At 37.2% G+C, this 23147-nt stretch overlaps 1 long non-coding RNA gene across 1 annotated transcript in view; it reads left to right on the top strand.

Annotated features, from left to right (window-relative positions):
• The first annotated feature begins 2858 nt into the window (after positions 1-2858).
• LOC105374832 (uncharacterized) overlaps positions 2859-23147 on the top strand; it is a 55455-nt gene continuing 35166 nt past the window's right edge. The window contains exons 1-2 of the long non-coding RNA XR_940305.2: positions 2859-3277; positions 3381-3521. This is a non-coding gene — a long non-coding RNA (uncharacterized LOC105374832). The remainder of the gene's footprint in view (positions 3278-3380; positions 3522-23147) is intronic.

Below are 23147 nucleotides of genomic sequence, written 5' to 3'. Positions count from 1 at the left end.
GAGAGGAGGTAGTATGAAAAGAGTTTCTATATTGGACAGGGGAGATACCAAAGCCCTCTTAGAGAATGCTAGTTAATCCTGTTAATTTTATTTGTCCATCCATTACTATTCCTGAACAAAGATCCACTGTGTTATAATAAACTGCATTTATGAATAGAGTACATCAAATAAAACACTCTTTTTGAATTGCACAGTTAGAGGCATTTTTATAATGATATACAACTTAGTAACTAGCACCAGAAGCGATATACAGACATACTTCATGTAATTGCACTTCTCTTTATTGCTCTTCACAGATATTACATTTTTTACAAATTAAAGGTTTGTTGTAACCCTGCATAGAGCAAGTCTATCAGCACCATTTTTCCATCAGTATGTGTTCACTTTGTGTCTCTGCATCACAATTTGGTAATTATCACAATATTTCAAAACTTTTTCACTATTCTTAGACCTGTTATGGTGATCTGTGATCAGCATTCTTTGATTAGTATTGAAATTGTTTTGGGACACCACAGGCTGCACGCATATAACTGACTGCTCCACTAGCTGGCTATTTCCCTTTCTCTCTCCCTCTTCTCAGGCCTCTCTATTCTCTAAGATAAAACAATATTTATATTAAACCAATTAATAACATTACAATGGCCTCTAAGTGTTCAAGTGAAAGGGAGAGATGCACGCCTGTTACTTTAAATCAAAAGCCAGAAATGATTAAGTGACATTAAATACAAAAGCTGAGGTAGGCTGAAAGCTGGGCCTCTTGCACCAAAGTTAGCCAAGTTGCAAATGCAAAGGAAAAGTTCTTGAAGGAAATTAAAAGTGCTACTCCAGTAAATACATGAATGATAAGAAAGCATAACAGCCTTGTTGCTGGTATGGGGAAAGTTTTAGAGGTCTGGATAGATGATCAAAGCGGCAACAACATTCCTGTAAGCCAGAGTCCAGAGGACAGCCCCAATTCTCTTCAATTCTATTAAAAGCTGAGACAGGTGAGGGAGCTGCAGAAGAAAAGTTGGAAGCCACCAGAGGTTGGTTCATGAGTATTAAAGAAAAAGACCATCTTTCTATATAAAAGCACAAGATGAAGCATCAACTGCTGATGTAGAAGCTGCAGCGAATTATCCAGAAGATCTAGCTACTAAGATCATTGATGACGGTGGCTACAATAAACTACGTATTTTAAATATAAATGAAACAGCCTTGTTCTGAAACAAGATGCCATCTAGGACTTTCTGAGTTAAAGCAGAGAAGCCAATGCCTGGTTTCAAAGCTTCAAAGAACAGGATGACTCTTGTTAGGGGCTACCAAAGCTGGCAAGTTTAAGTTGAAACATGCTCATTTACCACTTCAAAAATCCTAGGGCCCTTAAGAACTATGCTAAACCCACTCTGCTTGTGTAATTGAAACAGCATTGCCTGGATGACAGCACATCTGTTTGCAGCATGGTTTACTGAATATTTGAAGTGCACTGTACAGACCTACTGTTCAGACAAAAATATACCTTTCAAAATAGTACTGCTCACTGATGATACATCTGGTAACCCAAGAGTTCTGATAGAGTTGTACAAGGCGATTCATATGATTTTCATAGCTGCTAACACAACATTCATTCTGTAGTCTACAGATCAAACAGTAATTTTGACTTGTTATTAAATTTTATCTTGTTATTAAAGAAATGCATTTCATAAGGCTATAGACTGTAATTTCTCTGCTGGATCTAGGCAAAGTAAATTAAAAACCTTCTGGAAAATATTTACCATTCTAGGTGAGAGGTGACAGCGTGCTGGCAGTCCTCAGAGCCCTCGCTTGCTCTCAGCGCCTCCTCTGCCTGGGTTCCCACTTTGGCGGCACTTGAGGAGCCCTTCGGCCCGCCGCTGCACTGAGGGAGCTCCTTTCTGGGCTGCCCAAGGCCAGAGCCAGCTCCCTCAGCTTGCAGGGAGGTGTGGAGGGAGAGGCGCGAGCAGGAACCGGGGCTGCGCGCAGCGCTTGCGGGCCAGCTGGAGTTCTGGGTGGGCGTGGGCTTGGCGGGCCCCGCACTCGGAGCAGCCGGCCGGCCCTGCCGGCCCGGGCAATGAGGGACTTAGCACCCGGGCCAGCGGCTGCGGAGGGTGTACTGGGTCCCCCAGCAGTGCCGGCCCACCGGCGCTGCGCTGGATTTCTCGCCGGGCCTTAGCTGCCTTCCCGCGGGGCAAGGCTCGGGACCTGCAGCCTGCCATGCCTGAGCCTCCCCGCTCCGCCTCCGTGGGCTCCTGTGCCGCCCGAGCCTCCCCGACGAGCACCACCCCCTGCTCCACGGCATCCAGTCCCATCGACCACCCAAGGTGCTGAGGAGTGCCAGCGCACAGGGTGGGACTGGCAGGCAGCTCCACCTGCAGCCCTGGTGCGGGATCCAGTAGGTGAAGCCAGCTGGGCTCCTGAGTCTGGTTGGGACGTGGAGAGTCTTTATGTCGAGCTCAGGTATTGTAAACACACCAATCAGCACCCTGTGTTTAGCTCAAGGTTTGTGAGTGCACCAATCGAGACTCTGTATCTAGCTGCTCTGGTGGGGCCTTGGAGAACCTTTATGTCTAGCTCAGGGATTGTAAATACACCAATCAGCACCCTGTGTTTAGCTCAAGGTTTGTGAATGCACCAATGGACACTCTGTATCTAGCTGCTCTGGTGGGGCCTTGGAGAACCTGTGTGTCAAAACTCTGTATCTAACTAATCTGATGGGGACGTGGAGAACCTTTGTATCTAGCTCATGGATTGTAAATGCACCAATCAGCGCCCTGACAAAACAGGCCACTCGGCTCTACCAATCAGCAGGATGTGGGTGGGGCCAGGTAAGAGAATAAAAGCAGGCTGCCCCAGCCTGCCTCGGCAACCCGCTTGTGTCCCTTTGCATACTGTGGAAGCTTTGTTCTTTTGCTCTTTGCAGTAAATCTTGCTACTGCTCACTCTTTGGGTCCCCGCTGCTTTTATGAGCTGTAACATTCACCGCGAAGATCTGCAGCTTCACTCCTGAGCCCAGCGAGACCACAAGCCCACCGGGAGAAACGAACAACTCCAGACGTGCTGCCTTAAGAGCTGTAACACTCACCGCAAAGGTCTGCAGCTTCACTCCTGAACCAGCGAGACCACGAACCCACCAGAAGGAAGAAACTCCGAACACATCTGAACATCAGAAGGGACAGACTCCAGACGCGCCACCTTAAGAGCTGTAACACTCACCGCGAGGGTCCGCGGCTTCATTCTTAAAGTCAGTGAGACCAAGAACCTACCAATTCCGGACACATAGGTACCATTAAGAACATTAATGATTCATGAGAGAAGGTCAAAATATCAAAATTAACAAGAATTTGCAAGATGTTAATTTTAACTCTAATAAATGACATTTACAGATTCAAGACATCAGTGGAAAAATAAACTCCATGTAATGGGAATAGCAAGAAAAATAGCACTAGAAGTGGACCTTGAAGATTTGACTGACCTGTGGAAATCTCATAGTAAAACCTGAATGGAAGAAGAGTTGGTTCTTACAGGTAAGCAAAGAAAGCAGATTCTTGAGATAGAATCTCCTTCTGGCAAAGATGTTGTAATATTGTCAAATGGTAATAAACGATTTAGAATATTATATAAACTTGATAAAGCAGTGGCAGGTTTGAGAGGATTGACTCCAATATTGAAAAAAGTTCTGTTGTGGATAAAATGCTGTCAAACAGCATCAAATGCTACAGAGAAATATTTCATGAAAGAGAGAGTCAATTGCTGCAGCAAATTTCATTGCTGTCTTAATTTAAGAAATTGCCACCGCCACCCAGCCCTCCAGGAACCACCATCCTCATCAGTCAGCAGCCATCAACTTTGAGGAAAGGTCATCCACCAGCAAAAAGATTATGATTCACTGGAGGCTCAGATGACTGTTAGCATTTTTTAGGAATATTTTAAAATTAATGTGTATATGTTATTTTTATAATTTTATCACACACTTAACAGACTATAGCATAGTGTGAATATAACTTTTTTTTTTTGAGGTGGAGTCTTGCTCTGTCGCCCAGGCTGGAGTGCAGTGGCACAATCTCGGCTCACTACAAGCTCCGCTTCCTGGGTTCACGCCATTCTCCTGCCTCAGCCTCCTGAGTAGCTGGGACTACAGGCACTCACCACCACTCCCGGCTAATTTTTTGTATTTTTAGTAGAGACGGGATTTCACCATGTTAGCCAGGATGGTCTCGATTTCCTGACCTCGTGATCCGCCTGCGTCGGACTCCCAAAGTGCTGGGATTACAGGCTTGAGCCACCGCACCTGGCCGAATATAACTTTTATATGCACTGAGAAACCAAAAAATTTGTGTGACTCGCTTTATTGTGATATTTCCTTTATTGCAGTGGTCTGAAACCAATCTCACAATATCTCCAAGATATGCCCATATAGGACACCTGCAATACCTCCAAAAAGTTCCTTCATACAACTTTGTAGTAAATTATCTCACTTTAACGGAAGGCATTTACAGAATTACCTTATGTAACTATAGATTTATTTTGTCTGTCCTATAATTTTATAAAAATGGGATGAATAGAGTAGGTATTCTTTTGTGTCTGGCTTTCAGCATAAAATTTTTGAAACTTATGTTGTTTGTGTATCAGTGATTTATTCCACTTTATCTCTGAGTAGATTTTTTTTTTGAAAACACTATAATTTCCTGTGAATCTAACAATGGCCATATGGGCTATTTTATGTTTTTAAATTATTATGAGTAGAGCTGGTATGAAAATTTGTGTACAAGTATTCTATGAATATATAATTTTAAAATTTATTTTGGTTAACACGTAGGGGTGGAATTTACCCTCAATACTTTGCCATTTTGGGCCAGATGATTCTTTGTTGTGGGAAGCAGTTCTGATGTTTAGCAGCAACCTGGTCCTTTACCCAAGTGGATGCCAGTAGCACCTGCTACCAGTTGTGACAAATGAAAATAACTCTAGATATTGACAAATGTCTCCTGGGAAGCAAAATTAGCCCACAGTTAAGAACTACTGGTTTAACTGATTAGAAAATCTCAAACCCTTTTCAAAAGTTGTGGTATCCTTTTGTTGCAGACAGGTAATCCCTGAAGTTGGGGCTTTGGGAGAGTTCTTGGCTTTGTCCAGGAAAGAATTCAAGGGCAAGGCAGTGGTGTTAGACAGCAATCTGTTATTAAACAGTACTGCTTCTTGTGGAGCAGGGCTAACTCGTAGGCAGTGCACGCAGAGTTGGTAACATACAGGCTCTTAACAACTATATTTATACTCAGGTAAACCCACTTTCAATTGCAAGTAAATTATTGGGTGGGTCAATGCAAATTGAGGGGCAGGTTATTTGGATCTTTCTAGGAAAGGGGTGGTAACTTCTGAGTTGTTGTCACGGTGTTTGTAAACTATCATGGTGCCAGTAGGAGTGTCATGCTAATGAGTAAGGAGGGCAGCTGGGGATCCCTTCAGTCACCATTGGCTGATTCCTGCTGGTTTCTTTGCTTCATCCCACCTGAACCAGATCCTTTTTTAGTCAATAGGGTTGTGAACAGCAGACAAATTCTGCTAGTCTCCTACTTCACTTTTGCATCCTCTCCAAGACCATATGCATTGTTCTGCATCCTCAGTAATAGTTGGTGTTGCCAAACTTTTAAGTTCTAATCATTCTAGGACTTACAGAGTAATACGGCATCGGGGCTTTATTTTCCAAATTTGCATTTCTTGGATTTCTTATAATGTCAAACATATTTGAAAGCTATTCCTTTTTTGAATTATTTTCAAATCTTTTACCCACTTTTATTAAATTTTTTCTTAAAATTTTAAGTATAGATTCACATACAGTTAAAAGAAACAATACAGAGAAATCGTGTGTAAACTACATTTTCACCTGTGATGAAATTTTTAAAAACTGTAGTGTAATATCATAACCAGGACACTGGAATTGATACAATCTATCAATCTTATTCCAGTTTCAGCAGCTTTGTTGTGTTTGTGTGTATGTATCTATGTGTTTGCATGTGTGTGTGTATTTAGTTCTAAATAATTTTACCACATACATACATAGGTTTCTGAGGTTTCTGTATTCTGTATTGTTTTTAAACAATATTCAACCCACTGCAAGTCCAATTTATCAATGTTTTCATTTTATTGTTTTTTATAACTTCTATTTATTTTCTGAGATTTTCTACTTTTAATTTGTTTCAAATAAATTTTAATTCCTTAAATTAACTTAATTGTTAAAGTCATTAATTTGCAACACTGATTCATCTACGTGTTGTAGTCAGTTGATTGTCTTCTCACTCAGGCTGTTATCTTCTTATTTCTTGCTTTGTGTGGTAATTCTGAATTGTATCCTAGTTGTTTTGACTTATGTTAGGAGAAGATGGGTCATATTTAAATCTTTTATTTTAGCAGACATTCACTCTATTTAGCTCTGGCATGCAGGTTTGGCCTATTCTATGGTTTCAAAAGTAGTTATGTTTTCAGAGCCTTTGAGGTATGATTTGATGTGTTTGGTTTATCTGGTGCTGCTGCAGACACCTAGCTACCCTGCTGTTGCTGCCTGAGGTAAAGGAAGGGGTTTCCTAGGCTGGGCCCTGGGTGTCTAACTGTGGGGAGGCAGGTGTCAGGCCTGAGGGCATGAAGAGACTTCCCTGGCTGGACACTTGTTTGTTGGTATCCCTTGCCCATTGTTTTTCCCTTTTCATTGGCACTTCAAAAGGAATTTGTCTCTTGATGCTCTGTATTCCTATTATTTTACCCAATTCTTGTTGGAAGTAGAGGGCCGGGTGCGGTGGCTCATGCCTGTAATGCCAGCACTTTGGGAGGCCAAGGCGGGTGGATCACCTGAGGGCATGAGTTCGAGACCAGCCTGGCCAACGTGGTGAAACCCCATCTCTACTAAAAATACAAAAATTAGCTGGGCATGGTGGCAGGTGCCTATAATCCCAGCTACTCGGGAGATTTAGAAATAATCTCTTGTGTTCTGATTTAGTCTAAGTCTTATGCAGGCACTATGTCTGAGAATCTGATGAGGTTTTCTTTTTTTAACAATTACTCAGGCCCCTTCTCCACCTGTAATGGTGGGTTTAGCACTTATTCATGCCTTTTGCCCTGGGACAGAGCTTTTTTATTGCCCTTATTTCCTTAACCCAGCTTCAGTGGGCTACCAGGCTTTTTAGGTGAAAATCTGTTGTCTTTTCATCTGAAAACCAATACCTTTATTCTATAGAGGAGGAAGATGAGATGATTCTAGGCAAAGTTTCAGCAGTTTCAGCTATGCTCTTCCTCTAGCTAGTATCAAAAGGCATGATTCCTTAGGAGTCTTTCTAATCGTCCCTGTGAGTGTCTGGTGGGGTTTATGGAGAAGAGTCCATAAGAGGTGTGAACCTTCCCTAAATCTGCAATTTCTAAGGGATTTCCATTTGCACACTAGCTCAAACTTGGCCTTCGATAACAAGTAAACATTTCAGCTGAATTCTTTTTACTGGCTTATTTCATGTCCAGTGGTAGCTGCCCTTGTTACGCATGTGCTCCTGACACTTCCCCTGCAGACTCTTGGCTTTCCCACACTGGGGATGGGTTGGATGTTGTGAGAATTCAGTTCTTTGATGTATTCAAGAAAGTCATTAATTTGTAGTCTGTCTAGCTCTTTCATTGTTATAAGGGTGGGAACAATGGTGTTTCAAGCTTTATATTTCTCTGAGCTGAGAATGGAAAAGAGAAAGCTTTGTGATTTTTTATATAGGTATTTATTGAATAGTATAATGAAATTTGGTGAAACAACCAATGAACCCACAAATTAGTTCATTACAAATAAATGTGCTTCTAACAATGTGCCACTCTCTACATTTCCCTGTTTCCATTCAGATGAAAATGCTATCTTAAATTTATTTTATTTTATTTTTACCATTTCATTACCTTTGCATTTTTAGTCTTAATACATGCACACACATGGAGAAACAGGGCCGGGCACGGTGGCTTACGCCTGTAATCCCAGCATTTTGGGAGGCTGAGGCGGGTGGATAACCTGAGGTCAGGAGTTCGAGACCAGCCTGGCCAACATGGTGAAACCCCATCTCTACTAAAAATACAAAAATTAGCTGGGCATGGTGGCAGGTGCCTGTAATCGCAGCTACTCGGGAGGCTGAGACAGGAGAATCCTTGAACCTGGGAGGCGGAGGTTGCAGTGAGCCAAGATCATGCCAGGCTCTCCAGCCTGGGAACAAGAGCAAGACTTCATCTAAAAAAAAAAAAAAAAAAAAAAAAAAAAAAAGAAGAAGATATGGCTTATTTTGCCTTGAGTCTCAAATATTCAATATCTTTGGCTAGCAAAAATTCAGCATATCAGAAATAATTGATTTTTCTTATTCTATGTAATCCAATAAGGAAATATTAGTGATTAATCCAACAACTTTTAAATTAATAATTTACAGATTTAAATTAACAATTTGTTAATTTGTTAAATTAATTTAACAAATTAAAATTTGATGTGATACACTTGGAAAATTAATCTGTAAGAGTATAATTTTGACATTTACTTAAAAAAGAAACCCTAACCAAACAGAGTTGGGTGCTATTATTATTATTATTATTATTATTATTATTATTATTATTTTGAGACAGAGTTTTGCTCTTTTGCCCAGGCTGGGGTGAAGTGGCATAATCTCAGCTCACTGCAACCTCTGCCTCCTGGGTTCAAGCGATTCTCCTGCCTCAGCCTCCCAAGCAGCTGGGATTATAGGTGCCTGCCACCACGCCCCGCTAATTTTTGTATTTTTAGTAGAGACTGGGTTTCGCCATGTTGGCCAGGCTGGTCTTGAACTCCTGACTTCATGTGATCCACCCGCCTCGGCTTCCCAAAGTGCTAGGATTACAGGTGTGAGCCACCACACCCAGCCTGAGTTGGGTGCTATTTAATTGTGATTCTTACAATAATGTTTTCATGCTTTAGTAATGCAGAAACTGCCTTTGAAAACATATTTCTTCTAGCATTTATATAGAGCCTGATTTATAGAATTATTTTGGAATAATTAGGCCCTTTGAACATTTGAACATAACATTATGCTCCATTTTGCATTTATACATACATACACACATGTACACACACAGATATATGCATACACAGATGAAAAGAGGTAGTCTATCAAAAGGGTTTAAATTGCAATTAGACACTTATTATTAAATCCTCATTGTCATCAGAACAATCCACCACTCTCTTCTCTCTGTCAATGAGGTCTTAAAACACAAAGTCTGTTATAGACAGTGCTCTCACATTACATAAGGATTAAGTAGCATTTGGTCTAGTTAAAATATATTCCCTTTTCTCAGATTTGGAAAATAATCCCCGTATTTGGAAACTGTCACTTCATAAAGCAGGGGGCTGCAAGTATTTGGAAATAATTTTACTTATTTCCGACAGAAGCTTCTATTTTTGAAATTGCAATATATTATCCACCACATATTGAAACTCATACATCACTTATCAATGCAAAGAAAATTAGTAGAATGACCCCAAATATACAAATGACTTGCATTGTCAATTTTATACATGATATATAGTCTGGGAAAAGTCACTTAATGGAACTTGCTGTGATTTTATTCTGAATCATATACAATGTTACCTTAAGCACTCACTTTCTCTAATGTTGAGCTAAATCAAACAAAACTCAAATCGATAAATTTGGCAAGGCATAAGGCACTTACTCTTTAGCAAACACTTGGCAATACAAACTTAACCTAAATCTGTGATCTGCAATAAGGGGGTGGTTGACATTCTGAGCATGTGCTAATGTATAACAAAATTAGACTGAAAATATATTAACATTGAAGAATTGTCAAACCTCAGAAATAAATTCACTCCAACTTGCTGCAGTTTGCAGCTCCAGGAGGAAGCTGGAACTCCTTCTGTGCTATTATGCCTAACAAAATAATGAAGTCTTCTTTAGTAAAACTTGAGCTCTGTGGAAATCAGAAATCAAGCCATGGCTGACAGGGTAATTGCATTTCTCTTCTGGTCATTGTGGAGATAGTAAGATATTGATGAAACATGGAGGTGGCAAAACAGACATCATCCAATGATTTCGCATGTATCCGGAAAAGGATACTTGGGTTAGAACTGGTGAATATTTATGGATCTTAGTATATCAGCATCAATCTGGAGATACTTTGTGCAAAGATTTATCTAAATATTGCAAAAATAAACGTAAAATTATTTTGTGGACAGAAACCTCCTGAGGAGACACTGCAAGGTGGTTGGGAGGTGGGCAAACCATTAACACCAAAACTAACCTCCACTTTCAAATGGTTGACAAGATCATGGAATGGTGATATCTGCTTAATTAGATAAATAACTTCGCTAAGAACAATTCCCAACTATTATTTAAAAATACTCTTGTCAGGCAGGGTGGCTCATGGCTGTAATCCCAGCAGTTTGGGAGGCTGAAGCGGGTGATCACCTGAGGTCAGGAGTTTGAGACCAGCCTGGCCAACATGGTGAAACCTCGTCTGTATTAAAAATACAAAAAAAAATTAGCCAGGCGTGGTGATGGGCGCCTGTAATCTCAGCTACTCAGGAGGCTGAGGAAGGAGAATTGCTTTAACCTGGGAGGCAGAGGTTGCAGTGAGCCGAGATCACGCCATTGCACTCCAGCCTAGGCTACAAGAGCAAAACTCTGTCTCAGCAACAACAACAAAAAAGATAAAAATATTCTAAAACATGTATGTCCATTTGAATATGTTAATAAATAGTAGCTAGTTACCGACATAGCATTTTTGCCCCCAGGATAGCCCTCACTTATTGCCTTCTAATCCAGTTGACTATGAGTTTTTTATTTGCTCCCCAAACTGACATGTTTTCCACATTGTCATGGCCCTTAGCAAAAATCTCAATAATTTCTCACAAAAACTGACGCTAATATTCCCTCATTACACTATTCACACTGAAGGCATAGAAAAAGATCTCCTAAATTTTTTTAAAAAAGTATTTGTATAAAATTGGTGGTTTAAAATTAAAAAATAAAATACATTAAAATTGCCATTATCTTCAGAGAAAAGCCCCACATGATTTGCATATACTGTAAGACATTTTCAGTTTTGGCATTTGTCTTACATTCTACCTTTCTCACTCCTTACTTCCTAAATTGTAACTTTTGTTTTAGCCTAAATGAACTTCTCTCATTACACAAGACACTCTACCATATTGCTTCTCATGGTTTGTTTTTTCTTTTTTTGCTTCCTTTGCCTTGTAAGATCCGTATTTCCTTCTAACTTAAACACTTCCTTCTTGCATTTCTTTACTAAATTCTCTGATAAAACATCATTCAGATCACTTATTTGGATCATGTGCCCTCAGGGCATCATGCATTTAATAGCATCTACTACTTATTATCCTCTTATTAGTTGTCTGTTTTTTCTCCTAGACTATGAGCTCCTTGGAGGAAGCAGTTCTCATTCTTGCTGCTTAGTTAACACAGTACTGGGCACAAAGCAGTCAATACATGTTTGCTGAAAATATGAATGTTTTGGTAAACGTCTGAACTTCAGTTCTCACATTCTTCAGGAGAGAATACCTGAAATAAAGTTTTCCATGTTCCATCTTTAGCTCCTTACTTACTAGCTATGTACCCTTAAATAAGATATATAACATCTGTAAGTCTCAATTTCTTCATGTGTAAGATGGGAGTAATAGGGATCCCAACTCATTAAACTATTGTGAGGATTTAATAAAATTACAGTTAATAAAGGTTCTAATTACTTTTCAGGAAGGAGACATGATTAGAGAAAGTAGCCAATTTTCCAATGCAATCTGAATGTCCATTTATATTTAATTATTTAAAAGGAAAACGTGACATAGAAATCATATATGTCTGGTTCCTTCTATGAAGAGAATTGAGAAAGTTTATTTTTCAGCCACTCAAACATGGAAGCTCCATGACAGATTCAAGAATGGAGTGCATATTCTTCTATTTTTGAAAGCCATGATTAAACAAACTTACTTTCTAAAAATTAATTGTAAGTATCATATCCCTTTAAAGAATTCTCCCTCACATTTCAGTACAACATGCACACACACACACACACACACACACACACCCCACGCTATCCACTACTTTGCACAGTGCTGTAGGAAAGTTGATTCTCAACAATATTAACACATCAGCAAATGTTCTCTCTTTACTGTATTTTCAAATGGCTTGGTTAACTAATCCGGTGAACAAAACAGTGTTGACCTATTACTAAGTAACTATGGTAAAACCTTCCCCATCACTTTAAATGAATTTGATTCATCCACAGAAAAGAACTGCTTGAAGAGTACTAAAAACCAGTAACAAAAATTAATTGACTAAATTTATATTTTATTTTCCTTATGTCAAGGATCGTCTTCCCCAAAATCCTTTTCTTGCACTCATTCTCCTACTTAGGCTGACAAGACACTTTCCTCCTACCCTCTTCAGTATGTAGTGGTAATAAACTGAAGAGAGAGAATATATGACAGAATATTGCAGTCTCTGTGACACTATAATCAGTTCCATTGTTTGACTTACTTGTTTCATTATTGATAATATTCATGTATTCATCAGGTACTACACAATAACTTACTGAGAACCTACTACATGGCATACAACTTTTTTGTTATTAGAGATGTAAGAATGTTCAAAATAGACATGGCTTCTGTCCCCAAATAATTTCAATGGTACGGGAGAGGAAGAAAATAAAATATTTGTGGTATATAGCAATAAGAGCTATAAATGGTAATTATGACATGGTATGGGGTCCTATAACACAAGGACCTAATATAATATAAGAAAATTAGAGAACACTTTCTTGATGAAGTAAAATTTCTGCAAAAATCTAAAGGATATGTAGGAGTTCATTGAATGAGAGGAGATGAGAAAGATCTTAACTAGAAGAGGCAACAACATGTGAAGGAGTCATGAGGAATGAGGGGCCCAGTGCATTCAAGAGGCTTAATGTAGTCCTAATTAGTCCTGTTGGGAGGGCAACATGGAGGGTGAAATTAGAAGTCCCAGTATAATTGGCTAGTCATGCCTACATAAAACATGTTAATAATGTGGGTCTTAGGCCTAAGAACAGAGTGAAGCCGTGGAAAGTGTTTAAATAATAAGATATGCATTTTTAAGTATCTCTGTCGTAGAGAGAAAATACTGAGAAGAGGAATTGCTCTTTAGAAATGAGACTATCAAAGAGATCATTAAAGAATTCCTGGAGTATGTCTGTAGTTAACACTGCTTTGTCAGTGGTAGAAACGGAAACCAACTGGAGGGATATTTAGAAGGTAAAATGCGGAAGGTTTGCGTGATTTCTTTTTTTTTTTTTTTTGGTGATTGAAGGTTGATAGAGATAGGCTAGATGAGACACAGGCAACTGTCACCTACCTCAGTGCCACTCTAGAGTATATTAAACATCACCTTTAGATAAACTCAGTAAGTGCTGTTGAAAACTTCCTAGGAGTGTCAGCTAACCCAGTCCTTTACACTATCTTGATTTACACATGTAAATATTAACCTGACATCCTTTATGGTTTAACTCTTAACAGCTTCAAAAACCTAATATGGGTTATTTCCTTCTGCTCCTAAGTATCAAGGCTGCATCTAATGCACAGTTCTGCTCTATACTTTAGCTTCATCCACTAGAGCTGAATTTCAGTGAAAGCCACTGTTTTAGGTTCTGTGACAGCTGAGAAAATAAAAACACGGCGAGTTCTAAAGCACAGCCAGTTGTCTAGTATTGCCTATATGATGAGGTCAAAAGATTATGCAGAGGAGTTCCTATCAAAATGCATGACTTATTTTAAATGGAGCAATTATTGAGCATAAATTATGCCAGACATCACACTGGTACCTGACCTACATGATCTACTTCAGTATTTCTCCAAATGAGCTCCATGGGCCATTATCACTCACATATTCAGACAAAATGGATATAATGGTTAAATAGTTTTGGAAATCCATGCTAAAAGATCAAATAGTACCTGTAAAAGAAGTTGCTTAAAATAAAGTTAACATTATTTAGGCTACATCTGTCAAACTTTCTTAATAACAGTGCATTACAGGCCACTTAACTAGTATTTCATGGATTATAGAGGGGAAATGCCAATCTGAATATGTCTTCACAATCCTTAGCTTCTCTGTTTCACCTTTGTTCATAACTTTTATGACAATGTACAAGTATCTCAGCAATGCATATATTTTTCTACTCTACATATTTCTTTGAACCAATCCAGACCTCCAGGATGCTGATGTGCCACCCTGTCCCAGCCCAGCTGCCCAATTCTGTCACTACCTCCTTTCCATCCCAGCAAAAGTTCATGGTCACCACATCAACAACCTTTTTGTCCAGATTCTCAACCCACTATCTGCTTGATCTTTTGTTGCTATAATGCAGATCTAAAGTACAGGGTACAATAACACTGCCTTTTCTAGCTCAGGGCACTGTCTTGAAGATAACACACAAATAGGACACAAAATCTTACAGAATGGATGCCAGTGACAAATGGGGTCTCAAAAGTGATTAGTGCATCATCTGCTTGTTCCTAGTCCATGCTCATTCTCATTACTGACGGTAGATATTTGAAAACTTCACCACTTCCACAGCCTCATTCCAAATATTTTTGTTCCCAGTAGTTTGCTTATAAGTCTTTTCAGTCTCCTCCCTCTTCCTCTATGATTTAGTTCTCCCCGAAGATTTCATTACTGTATGTCTGCCCCAGGTCATTCTCCTTTGCATGTGGTTCACCACCGACTGCAAATTTCTACCTGAATATTCCACAGACATTTTAACTGAATGGATCTCCTTCTCCATCCCTTAAATTGTGTATGTTCTCAATTATCCCCAGTCTTGAAGAAAGCAACACTGACATCTCCTTTTTTATTCTCTCATTCACATTTGAGTGGCCTCAAAATCCTGTCAATTCCCTAGCTTTGCTCATTCTCAAATTTCCCTGTCTGCATTTTCTGTGGCACTAATTTAGCAACATCTTTTTACTAAATTAATGCAATGATTTCCATGAGCCTCCTTGCCATGCATCTTTGCTGAGGACGATCCAATGTTCCCTGTAATACAGCCAGAACAAACTTTCAAAAATGTAAACTTAGGTATACCACACCTCTTTTAAAATATTTTAATGTCATACCATTCAGAATCAAATGCAAATTCCTCAGCTGACATGGAAACCCTCCTTTTGTTTTCCCTTTTCAATTCAATTCTGGCTTCCGTCTCTCTTATAATATCCTTCCTTACAGAATCTTCTCACTTCTCATCTAGCTAATATATTAATATATGTTGCCCCTAAATGAAAATATCACTCATCGCAATCTTTCTAGACCCTTAACATTTCATTCAGTTGTTTCTTTCTGGGGCTCCATCATATTACAAATCACATTGTAATTGTAATTTTGCTTAAAAGTTACCAGCATTAAATTTAAATTTCTTAAGAAGAGGAACTATATCTTAATATTTTATTACAATTTCTAAGTACTGAAAGTTGCAAATAGTAGATGATCAATTAATATTTGAAAAACAATATACAGTTTTTACAAAATGTACATACAGAGATTAATTTTATTTGCTGCATTATATAAACCCTAGGGGGAAAATATAATAGATGTTTCTATCCCACCCTTCCCCAAGCAAAAGATGAAGGACCTGCAGCTTACACTTGAATTGTATGACTCAAAATTTGGTGTAATTTCCATTAAATGGTATTATAGCAATCAATCAAATACTTGATTTCCATAATAAATAATTTCCATTTCCAATGTCATGGCTTTGACAGGTAAGTTACTCCAGACAAACATCCATTATTCAAATATTCATTCAAATGTATTATGTATATGCAAAGGAACTGGAAAATAGTCACCAAAGAAATACAAATCTGCTTAAAATCTTATATTAGAGGCACAGTGGTACCTCAGTTAGTTACAGCAAAAGATTTTCAATTGAAAATTGTGTTCTGCTGCTTGAATAATTTAAACTTATTTTAAACTGATTTATGATGCGCATCTCCAATACTAATCTTCACTTTACTTACTTTTCCACTTTTTTGTCTTATTTTGTTTTGATCAGAACATTTTCTACCAAAGCTCAGGCATTATGCTGATTTTGAACTTCCTCACATAAGTAGCAGGCACTTTAGTAAAAGGTCACTACCCACCCTAGTGATTTAATGAATTCAAAGTAAAGGAAATAATTCATCAAAGTTCCCAAAGGCATCTCTTCCTATTTCCTTTGCTTTTCTCATATTCACTACAGACCTTTGATTTTCTTTCCTTAAGTGTACTAGAGAAATGCAAACGCCAGTCAATATTCATTGAAGCTCCTGCTGCGTGTGTTGTATCTACTGAGACTTTTGAACAGCTAGCTCACATACGGGATTAAACTATATGGACATTTTATTCATCTCTAAAACAAGTTGCTTTTCATAGATTAAGGCTCTTTTTCAACATGATACTAGCTTAACATGGATCTGTCTAGACTTTTGACTCATATTTTAGGCATATGTTTTTCTCTTCTTTTTTTCTGTTTTTTTTTCCTTAGTTTTAGCCCATTTATAGTGTTTGCTGTACCAGATTTCATGAGATTTTTTGCATTATACCCCCACTCTGTTAAGTGTCCAGCGTTCTTGAGGGGCATCTTTTCTCTTACCAGCAGTTCCTTTCAAGTTAATGGCAATTTCAAGTCCCTCATCTGTTTCAGGTTACTCTTTAGATATTTAATTCCTGGAGATTCTGCTCCCTGTGTTACATTTGATGGACATTAGGTTCACAATTGTTATTTCTCAACCACTCTGTGTTCTAAGAAAGAATGTATCCATAGAATAATCATAGGAGAAAGAAGATCAAGGTGTTGCCTGTTTTTTAGGTTCAGCCCAGTAACTGACAAAATACAGGGATCTTGAGCAAGGTACATTGCAAAACAAAGATTTTACTTTAAGTCCAAGATGGGCTTCCTTATACTTCTGCAAAGTCAAGATATTTTTACTCATCTGAAAGAAATATGAACTTTTAGAGCATTATTGCTGCACATTTAGCCAGCTTCTCAAATACGAAGTGCTTGATGTAAAAGAAGCATTTTTGGCATCAGGGAAATTGCAGTGCCTTCTTTGCTCCATTCAACATATCCAATGAAAGCCACTTTTTTAACAATCAAAAGTAGATATTGACCAAGCCAGTCTAATGTTCCCCCACAGCTTGACTAAATTTCAGATGGGTTCCTTCCTGACTATAGGCACCTACGTATTTATTTTAGAAAACTGGCAATTATAAATTATTTCTCTGCAGCTTTGATATGAAAGTCTTCTTTCAGCCTTCTGCCAGTTTTACATTCCAGGCTCATCATTCTCATGGATCTGGGAGCTATTCCTTTGAAATGTAGTTATTCAGAATATTGCTGCAATAAATATACATGTGCGTATGTCTTTATAGCAGCATGATTTATAATCCGTTGGGTATATACCCAGTAATGGGATTGCTGGGTCAAATGGCATTTCTAGTTCTAGATCCCTGAGGAATCGCCACACTGTCTTCCACAATGGTTGAACTAGTTTACAGTCCCACCAACAGTGGAACCAACCCAAATGTCCAACAATGATAGACTGGATTAAGAAAATGTGGCACATATACACCATGGAATACTATGCAGCCATAAAAAATGATGAGTTCATGTCCTTTGTAGGGACATGGATGAAGCTGGAAACCATCATTCTCGGCAAACTTTCACAAGGACTAAAAACCAAACACCGCATGTTCTCACTCATAGGTGGGAATTGAACAATGAGAACACTTGGACACAGGAAGGGGAACATCACACACTGGGGCCTGTCGTGTGGTGGGGGGAGGGGGGAGGAATAGCATTAGGAGATATACCTAATGTAAATGATGAGTTAATGGGTGCAGCTCACCAACATGGCACATGTATACATATGTAACAAACCTGCACTTTGTGCACATGTACCCTAGAACTCAAAGTATAACATATATAATATATAATATATAATACATAGAATATATAGAATATATTATATATAATATATATTACATATAGAATATATATTATATATAAATAATATATATATATAATATATAAAAGAAATGTAGTTATTCAGAAGGCTAGAGCCCTTATCTCACATTTTCTGTTGGCAGGTAGATAGAACCTAATTTTGACAAATTCTAGTTAGCAAATATAGAAGGCATAAACACATCAACCAACTTCCCTCCTTACCTTCCTAAAGTACTCTTCTACTAGGGTCACTACGGTGCCTAAAACGTTTTCTGCCTTTTGGTTCTTTGAAGTTAAGTTAAATTTCTTTCTTCTGTTGCAATAATATTGACCCCTATTGCACTACTTTGGTGCAATTCCTCTTTGACAGTACTAATCCTTCTTTGAGAAAGAGCAAATAAAGGAATGATGAGAGAACTGAAAGGGTCCATCGATCCCCTTCTCCCATCCCAATGGGAGGAAGGGAGAGTACATTAATGTTCTGTAAAAACATAAAGAGCATAATGAACTTTCCTATGCTCCACCCCCAACAATGCTATTTAAAGTTTATTTTTTCTGGAGTAGAATATAGTATGAATGTCCTGGAACATATGAAGGAGATCATAGTGAGAAAATTAAAAACCATAACTTTTGTAGAATGTTTTAAATTTTATGTGGCTTATGGAAGAGATTCACAAGGTTCATGCTTACAAACATCAAATATTTGAAAGATTTGGAAAGGGGAATATCGTATTCAGGAAAGGGGAAAAGTATTCAGATCTGTTCTGTGTTTTCCTCCAAAACAATACCAAGACTAACATATACAAGTTAAAATTGAAAATGTTTCAGTTTAATAGAAAAAAATCATTCCAAAACTCTGAAATGTCTAAAGATGGGATATGCTAGGCTGACTTGGAAGGTAGTGTGTTCACTAACAAGGGATATGAAGATAATGGTTCAAGGCAGTCTTGGTTGAAATGTTGAACAATTTCAGACATCACAGGAGGATGTGGGAAGCCAGAGATACAGTTTTCCTTATAGCCTTGAATTTTTTTCCATTGCTCTGACTTTTTATTTAAATATACAGATTAAATTGTTTTGACTTTGACAAGAAGAAAACAATATAAAGGATCTTTTTTAACAATTAAAAATGTTAAGTAGTTTAATTTAAACATACACACACACATACATATGAAAGCAGTGTCTCTCACTGAAGAAGTTTTTTCTGAAAATACTTACTAGAAAACAGAAAAAAATGCAAAATTGCTATTATCAGAAAACCAGAGAGCTATATTATTGTGTTTTCTTTAACATGTTTAAATTTGCGTTACTGTTTTGTTAATGTCTAACTTTATCTGGCTTTCAAGGCAGTAAAGACTATCACCCCTGAAACCACAATGCATCCAAACACTGTCCATTAGCAACATAGAGGCCCTGCAAAGGTGAAAGAAAGAGTTTTAGTTGATGCATCAATTATGGTCACGAATAGCCCTTTAAACTGAAAGTGCTGCATCTCAAAATTCTCTTCTTCACTTTGCCTTCTTAATTGCATCTTTCACCTCCAAACTAGATTAAGCTATATATCACAGGAAACATAAAGTAGATCAATTACCTTAAGAAATTCTGAAATGGTAGGATCTTTGATTTTCAAAATAGATTAGAAGTAGGATGGCTTCAGATGGGCCCTGTTGAATGACTCCTCTGGGAAGATCAGTCTGTGGCTATTAATGTGATTTGTCCACCATGTTGGGCCATAAGAAGATTGTCAATTGCCATGAGGAGTATGCTTTGCTGAAACTTTCTCTGAAATGTATAACAGCTTCAGCAGCTTAGTAGAAAATTCCCAGACATTTTCTGGTCACCAAACAGAGGAGGTCAGATATTTCTGTATATAAAGTGAGGGCCCAGACTATAATCCAAATCAAACCAAATTCTAAAATTCCTAAGGTTTTTATGAGGTTCACATGTATAGACTTTCTCTGTACCTAGATAGTCAATCATTCATCCCCTGACTTTTGATACCTGAGAATAAATGGATAAAACAGGGGCATTGACACTTCAAACATCGGATGAGTTGGAAAAACTGAACACATATGTATTACTAATGGGATATTATCAATAGCATCTTCATCAAATAATACAGTTTCTATTATTTGGTTATTCTCTATATGATGCCATGATAATGTGTAATTATAGAACAAAGGAAATAAAAATGTTAACATGTCCAACTTTATCTGGCTTTCAATGAAGACAAGACTATATCACTCTGAACCCACAGTGCATAATTTTAGTGTAATATATGCATAACCTAAAATTTGCTCTTACATAAATAGGTTGATTTTACATTTAAATTGTTATTGAATTGGGCTAATAAAAAAGTTAACATTTTCTCACACAATATGGCTATGCTCCAAATATTTTTAAATCTACTTTGGCTCTGATCTAACTATTGGTGTGCTCTCCTTCTACAATTTATATACTGGAACCTAATACTCAATGTGATAGTATTAAAAGGTGGGGCCTTTGGGAAGTGATTAATTCATGAGGGCTTCACTCTCATGACTAGGATTAGCACCTTTATAGAAGAGGATATAGGGAGTTCCCTTGCCCTTTCCACCATGTTAGGACACTGCAAGAAGGTGAAGTGTGTGGAAGTGGCCTCACCAGACAGGAATCTGATAGCCCTTTGATTTTGGACTTCCCACCCTCCAGAACTGTGAGCAATAAATCTTTATTGTTTAAAATTACCCAGTCTAAGATATTTTGCTATAGCAACCAAAACAGACTAACAACCTCCCACCAAAATAAAACAAAATCTACTTTATGTTTCCTTTTATGCATAGACATCATTCATCAATATTTAATATAGAAAGGAATTTTAAAATCTATAAAGTGCTTCAAAATAAATAATGCAATAATATGTAGCAATTAACAATAATGAGGTAGTCTTGCTAGCCACTATAGAATTTCAAGGCATGTGTCTCTTTCCATGTTCTAAGTAGTTTATTTTTCCTTAAGGAAACTCAGATCATTGAGTATATCAGCCTTATAATTCTTACTTCCTACTCTGCTGTGTCCAGCTGTCTTCAGAACTGGAACTTCTCAATCAAATTAAAGCGGCAATCTGATTTCACTTGGGGTCATAGACTTTGCTTTTCACATCTACAGAGAAAATCTCCTCTATTTACTTTGGGTTAAAGTCAATATAAAATTGGAATTTCAGTATTTCTAGTTCTTTAAAATCTAACAATTTTTTGTATAGTTTTTGTTCAGAGACAGAAACAAAGGAAAACAACTGTAAGATGCTCTCTATAGCTAATGTAAAGGGCCATGTTTTTTCTTAAGGCATATAATTTTCTGCTATTTAGTAATTAGATATTTGAAGTTAGATATAATAGTTTTCATTGTGTGATCTCAGCAACATTAAATAACTCAGAATGGATGTTTAAAATGTATACGCTTATATATTTGAATTGGCATTTCCAAAGATGCTCAGTATTTACTTTAAATTCAGTGTCTAGTACTGAATTTAAAGAAACATTATCAAAACATTCTTATCAAAAAATCCATGAGGAGTTTCTTCTTATCAGAAATATATTGTCTCTAATAAATCAGATTAGGTTTAAGTTTGTATAAAATTGACATTGATATTTAAAAAAAAATTCTCACATGTGTGTACTTTCATCTCAAAAGAAATGTGAGTTTCCTGAGAAAAAAATTCCCCATATTTATAATAATTTCCTTGAGTTAATTATAATATAATTTCAGATATGGGGAGTCATGCATACAACTCACTGACAGATTGGCTACTGAAATGTAACTTAAAATCACTTTAATTAGTGGTGTGGAAACTGAGGATAAATTATGAATGTTGAAATTTCCTAAAATTGTATGGAAAAAGGAAAGGTATACCAAATCAAGGTCAACTTGTGAGAGATATTTTTATTTCTTTTTGTATACTTTTGAAGATTTAGAGTTAACATATACCTGTGTTGTCCCATGTTAGTAGCCATATGTGGTTACTTAAATTTAAACTTAAGTCAATAAAAACTTATTGAAATTAGAATTTAATTTTCTGAATTGCTTTAGTAACATTGTAAGTGCTCAGTAACCTCATGTAGCTAGGGCTACCATATTGGACAGTATTTGTATTGGACAATAGCGATATAGACACTTTTGAAGATTCTTCAAGCCAGGGATCCCTTCTCCAATGTCCTCATATATAATATACTTAATATATGTAACTTTGTATATGTTGATTAAACCCATATATATGGAAGGCCTATTTTGGTGAAAAAATAGGTTTTCTATTTCTCTTCTTACTTCTTTGTGATAAAAAATAAGTATCACTCTCCTTCAAATGTCTTGGTGTTCCTTTCCCTGCCATCTACCAAATCTAAGTTTAAAAAAACGATCTGCCTTTAGCCCCTTACAACACAGGCTGAATCTCTTTATTACTTGCCATATTCTGATAGGAGAGAATTCAGGTGGAAAAGAGAAATTTTTCAATAGCATTAATTAAAGCAGATATTTACTTATTTACATTATATGTGTTACAAGTGCTGATGCCTTAGTTTTGACAGACTATAATGGAAATATTTTCTGCCCAATTAGTTCTGCTGTGCACATTCACTTCATATATGGTACGCAATGCTAATAGCAACCTAAACTAGCTGTTTATATATTTATGTTGTTTATTCATTCAGTAGATATTATTTATTTACTGTGACAGGCATTTTGTTACTCCATGAGTGCAAAGAGGCTGAAAGTAATTGTTCCTGCACTGCAGGAGTTTACAGAGTTTACAATCTAGAGGAAGAAAATATAATCATAAATTCAATTAAAGCAGTAATAATACATCATTTCCTGTTTAGTTACAGGCAGTAAATGGATACATTTTAATAAATAATTACAGCTATTACTTATTGATTGCTATGTTCCAGGTGCTGTGAGAAAAATTTCATATTCAATAACTCATTTAATGTTCACAATAATTGTTTGTATTTTAAAATATTTTATCTTCACTTTACAAATAAAAAAGGTAACATGGTGTTTAAGTTACTGTTTCAAAATTGAATGTTTAGCATGTGGTGGATCCTGATGCAAATCAAATGTTATCTGATAAAGCAAGATTATGCTGTGTTTAGAACCACAGTGCC

This window comes from Homo sapiens, chromosome 2 (assembly GCF_000001405.40).
Source record: "Homo sapiens chromosome 2, GRCh38.p14 Primary Assembly".
Lineage (NCBI taxonomy): Eukaryota > Metazoa > Chordata > Mammalia > Primates > Hominidae > Homo > Homo sapiens.
The sequence above is the reverse complement of the archived record's forward strand: the minus strand, read 5'-3'. Positions and strand labels throughout refer to the sequence as shown.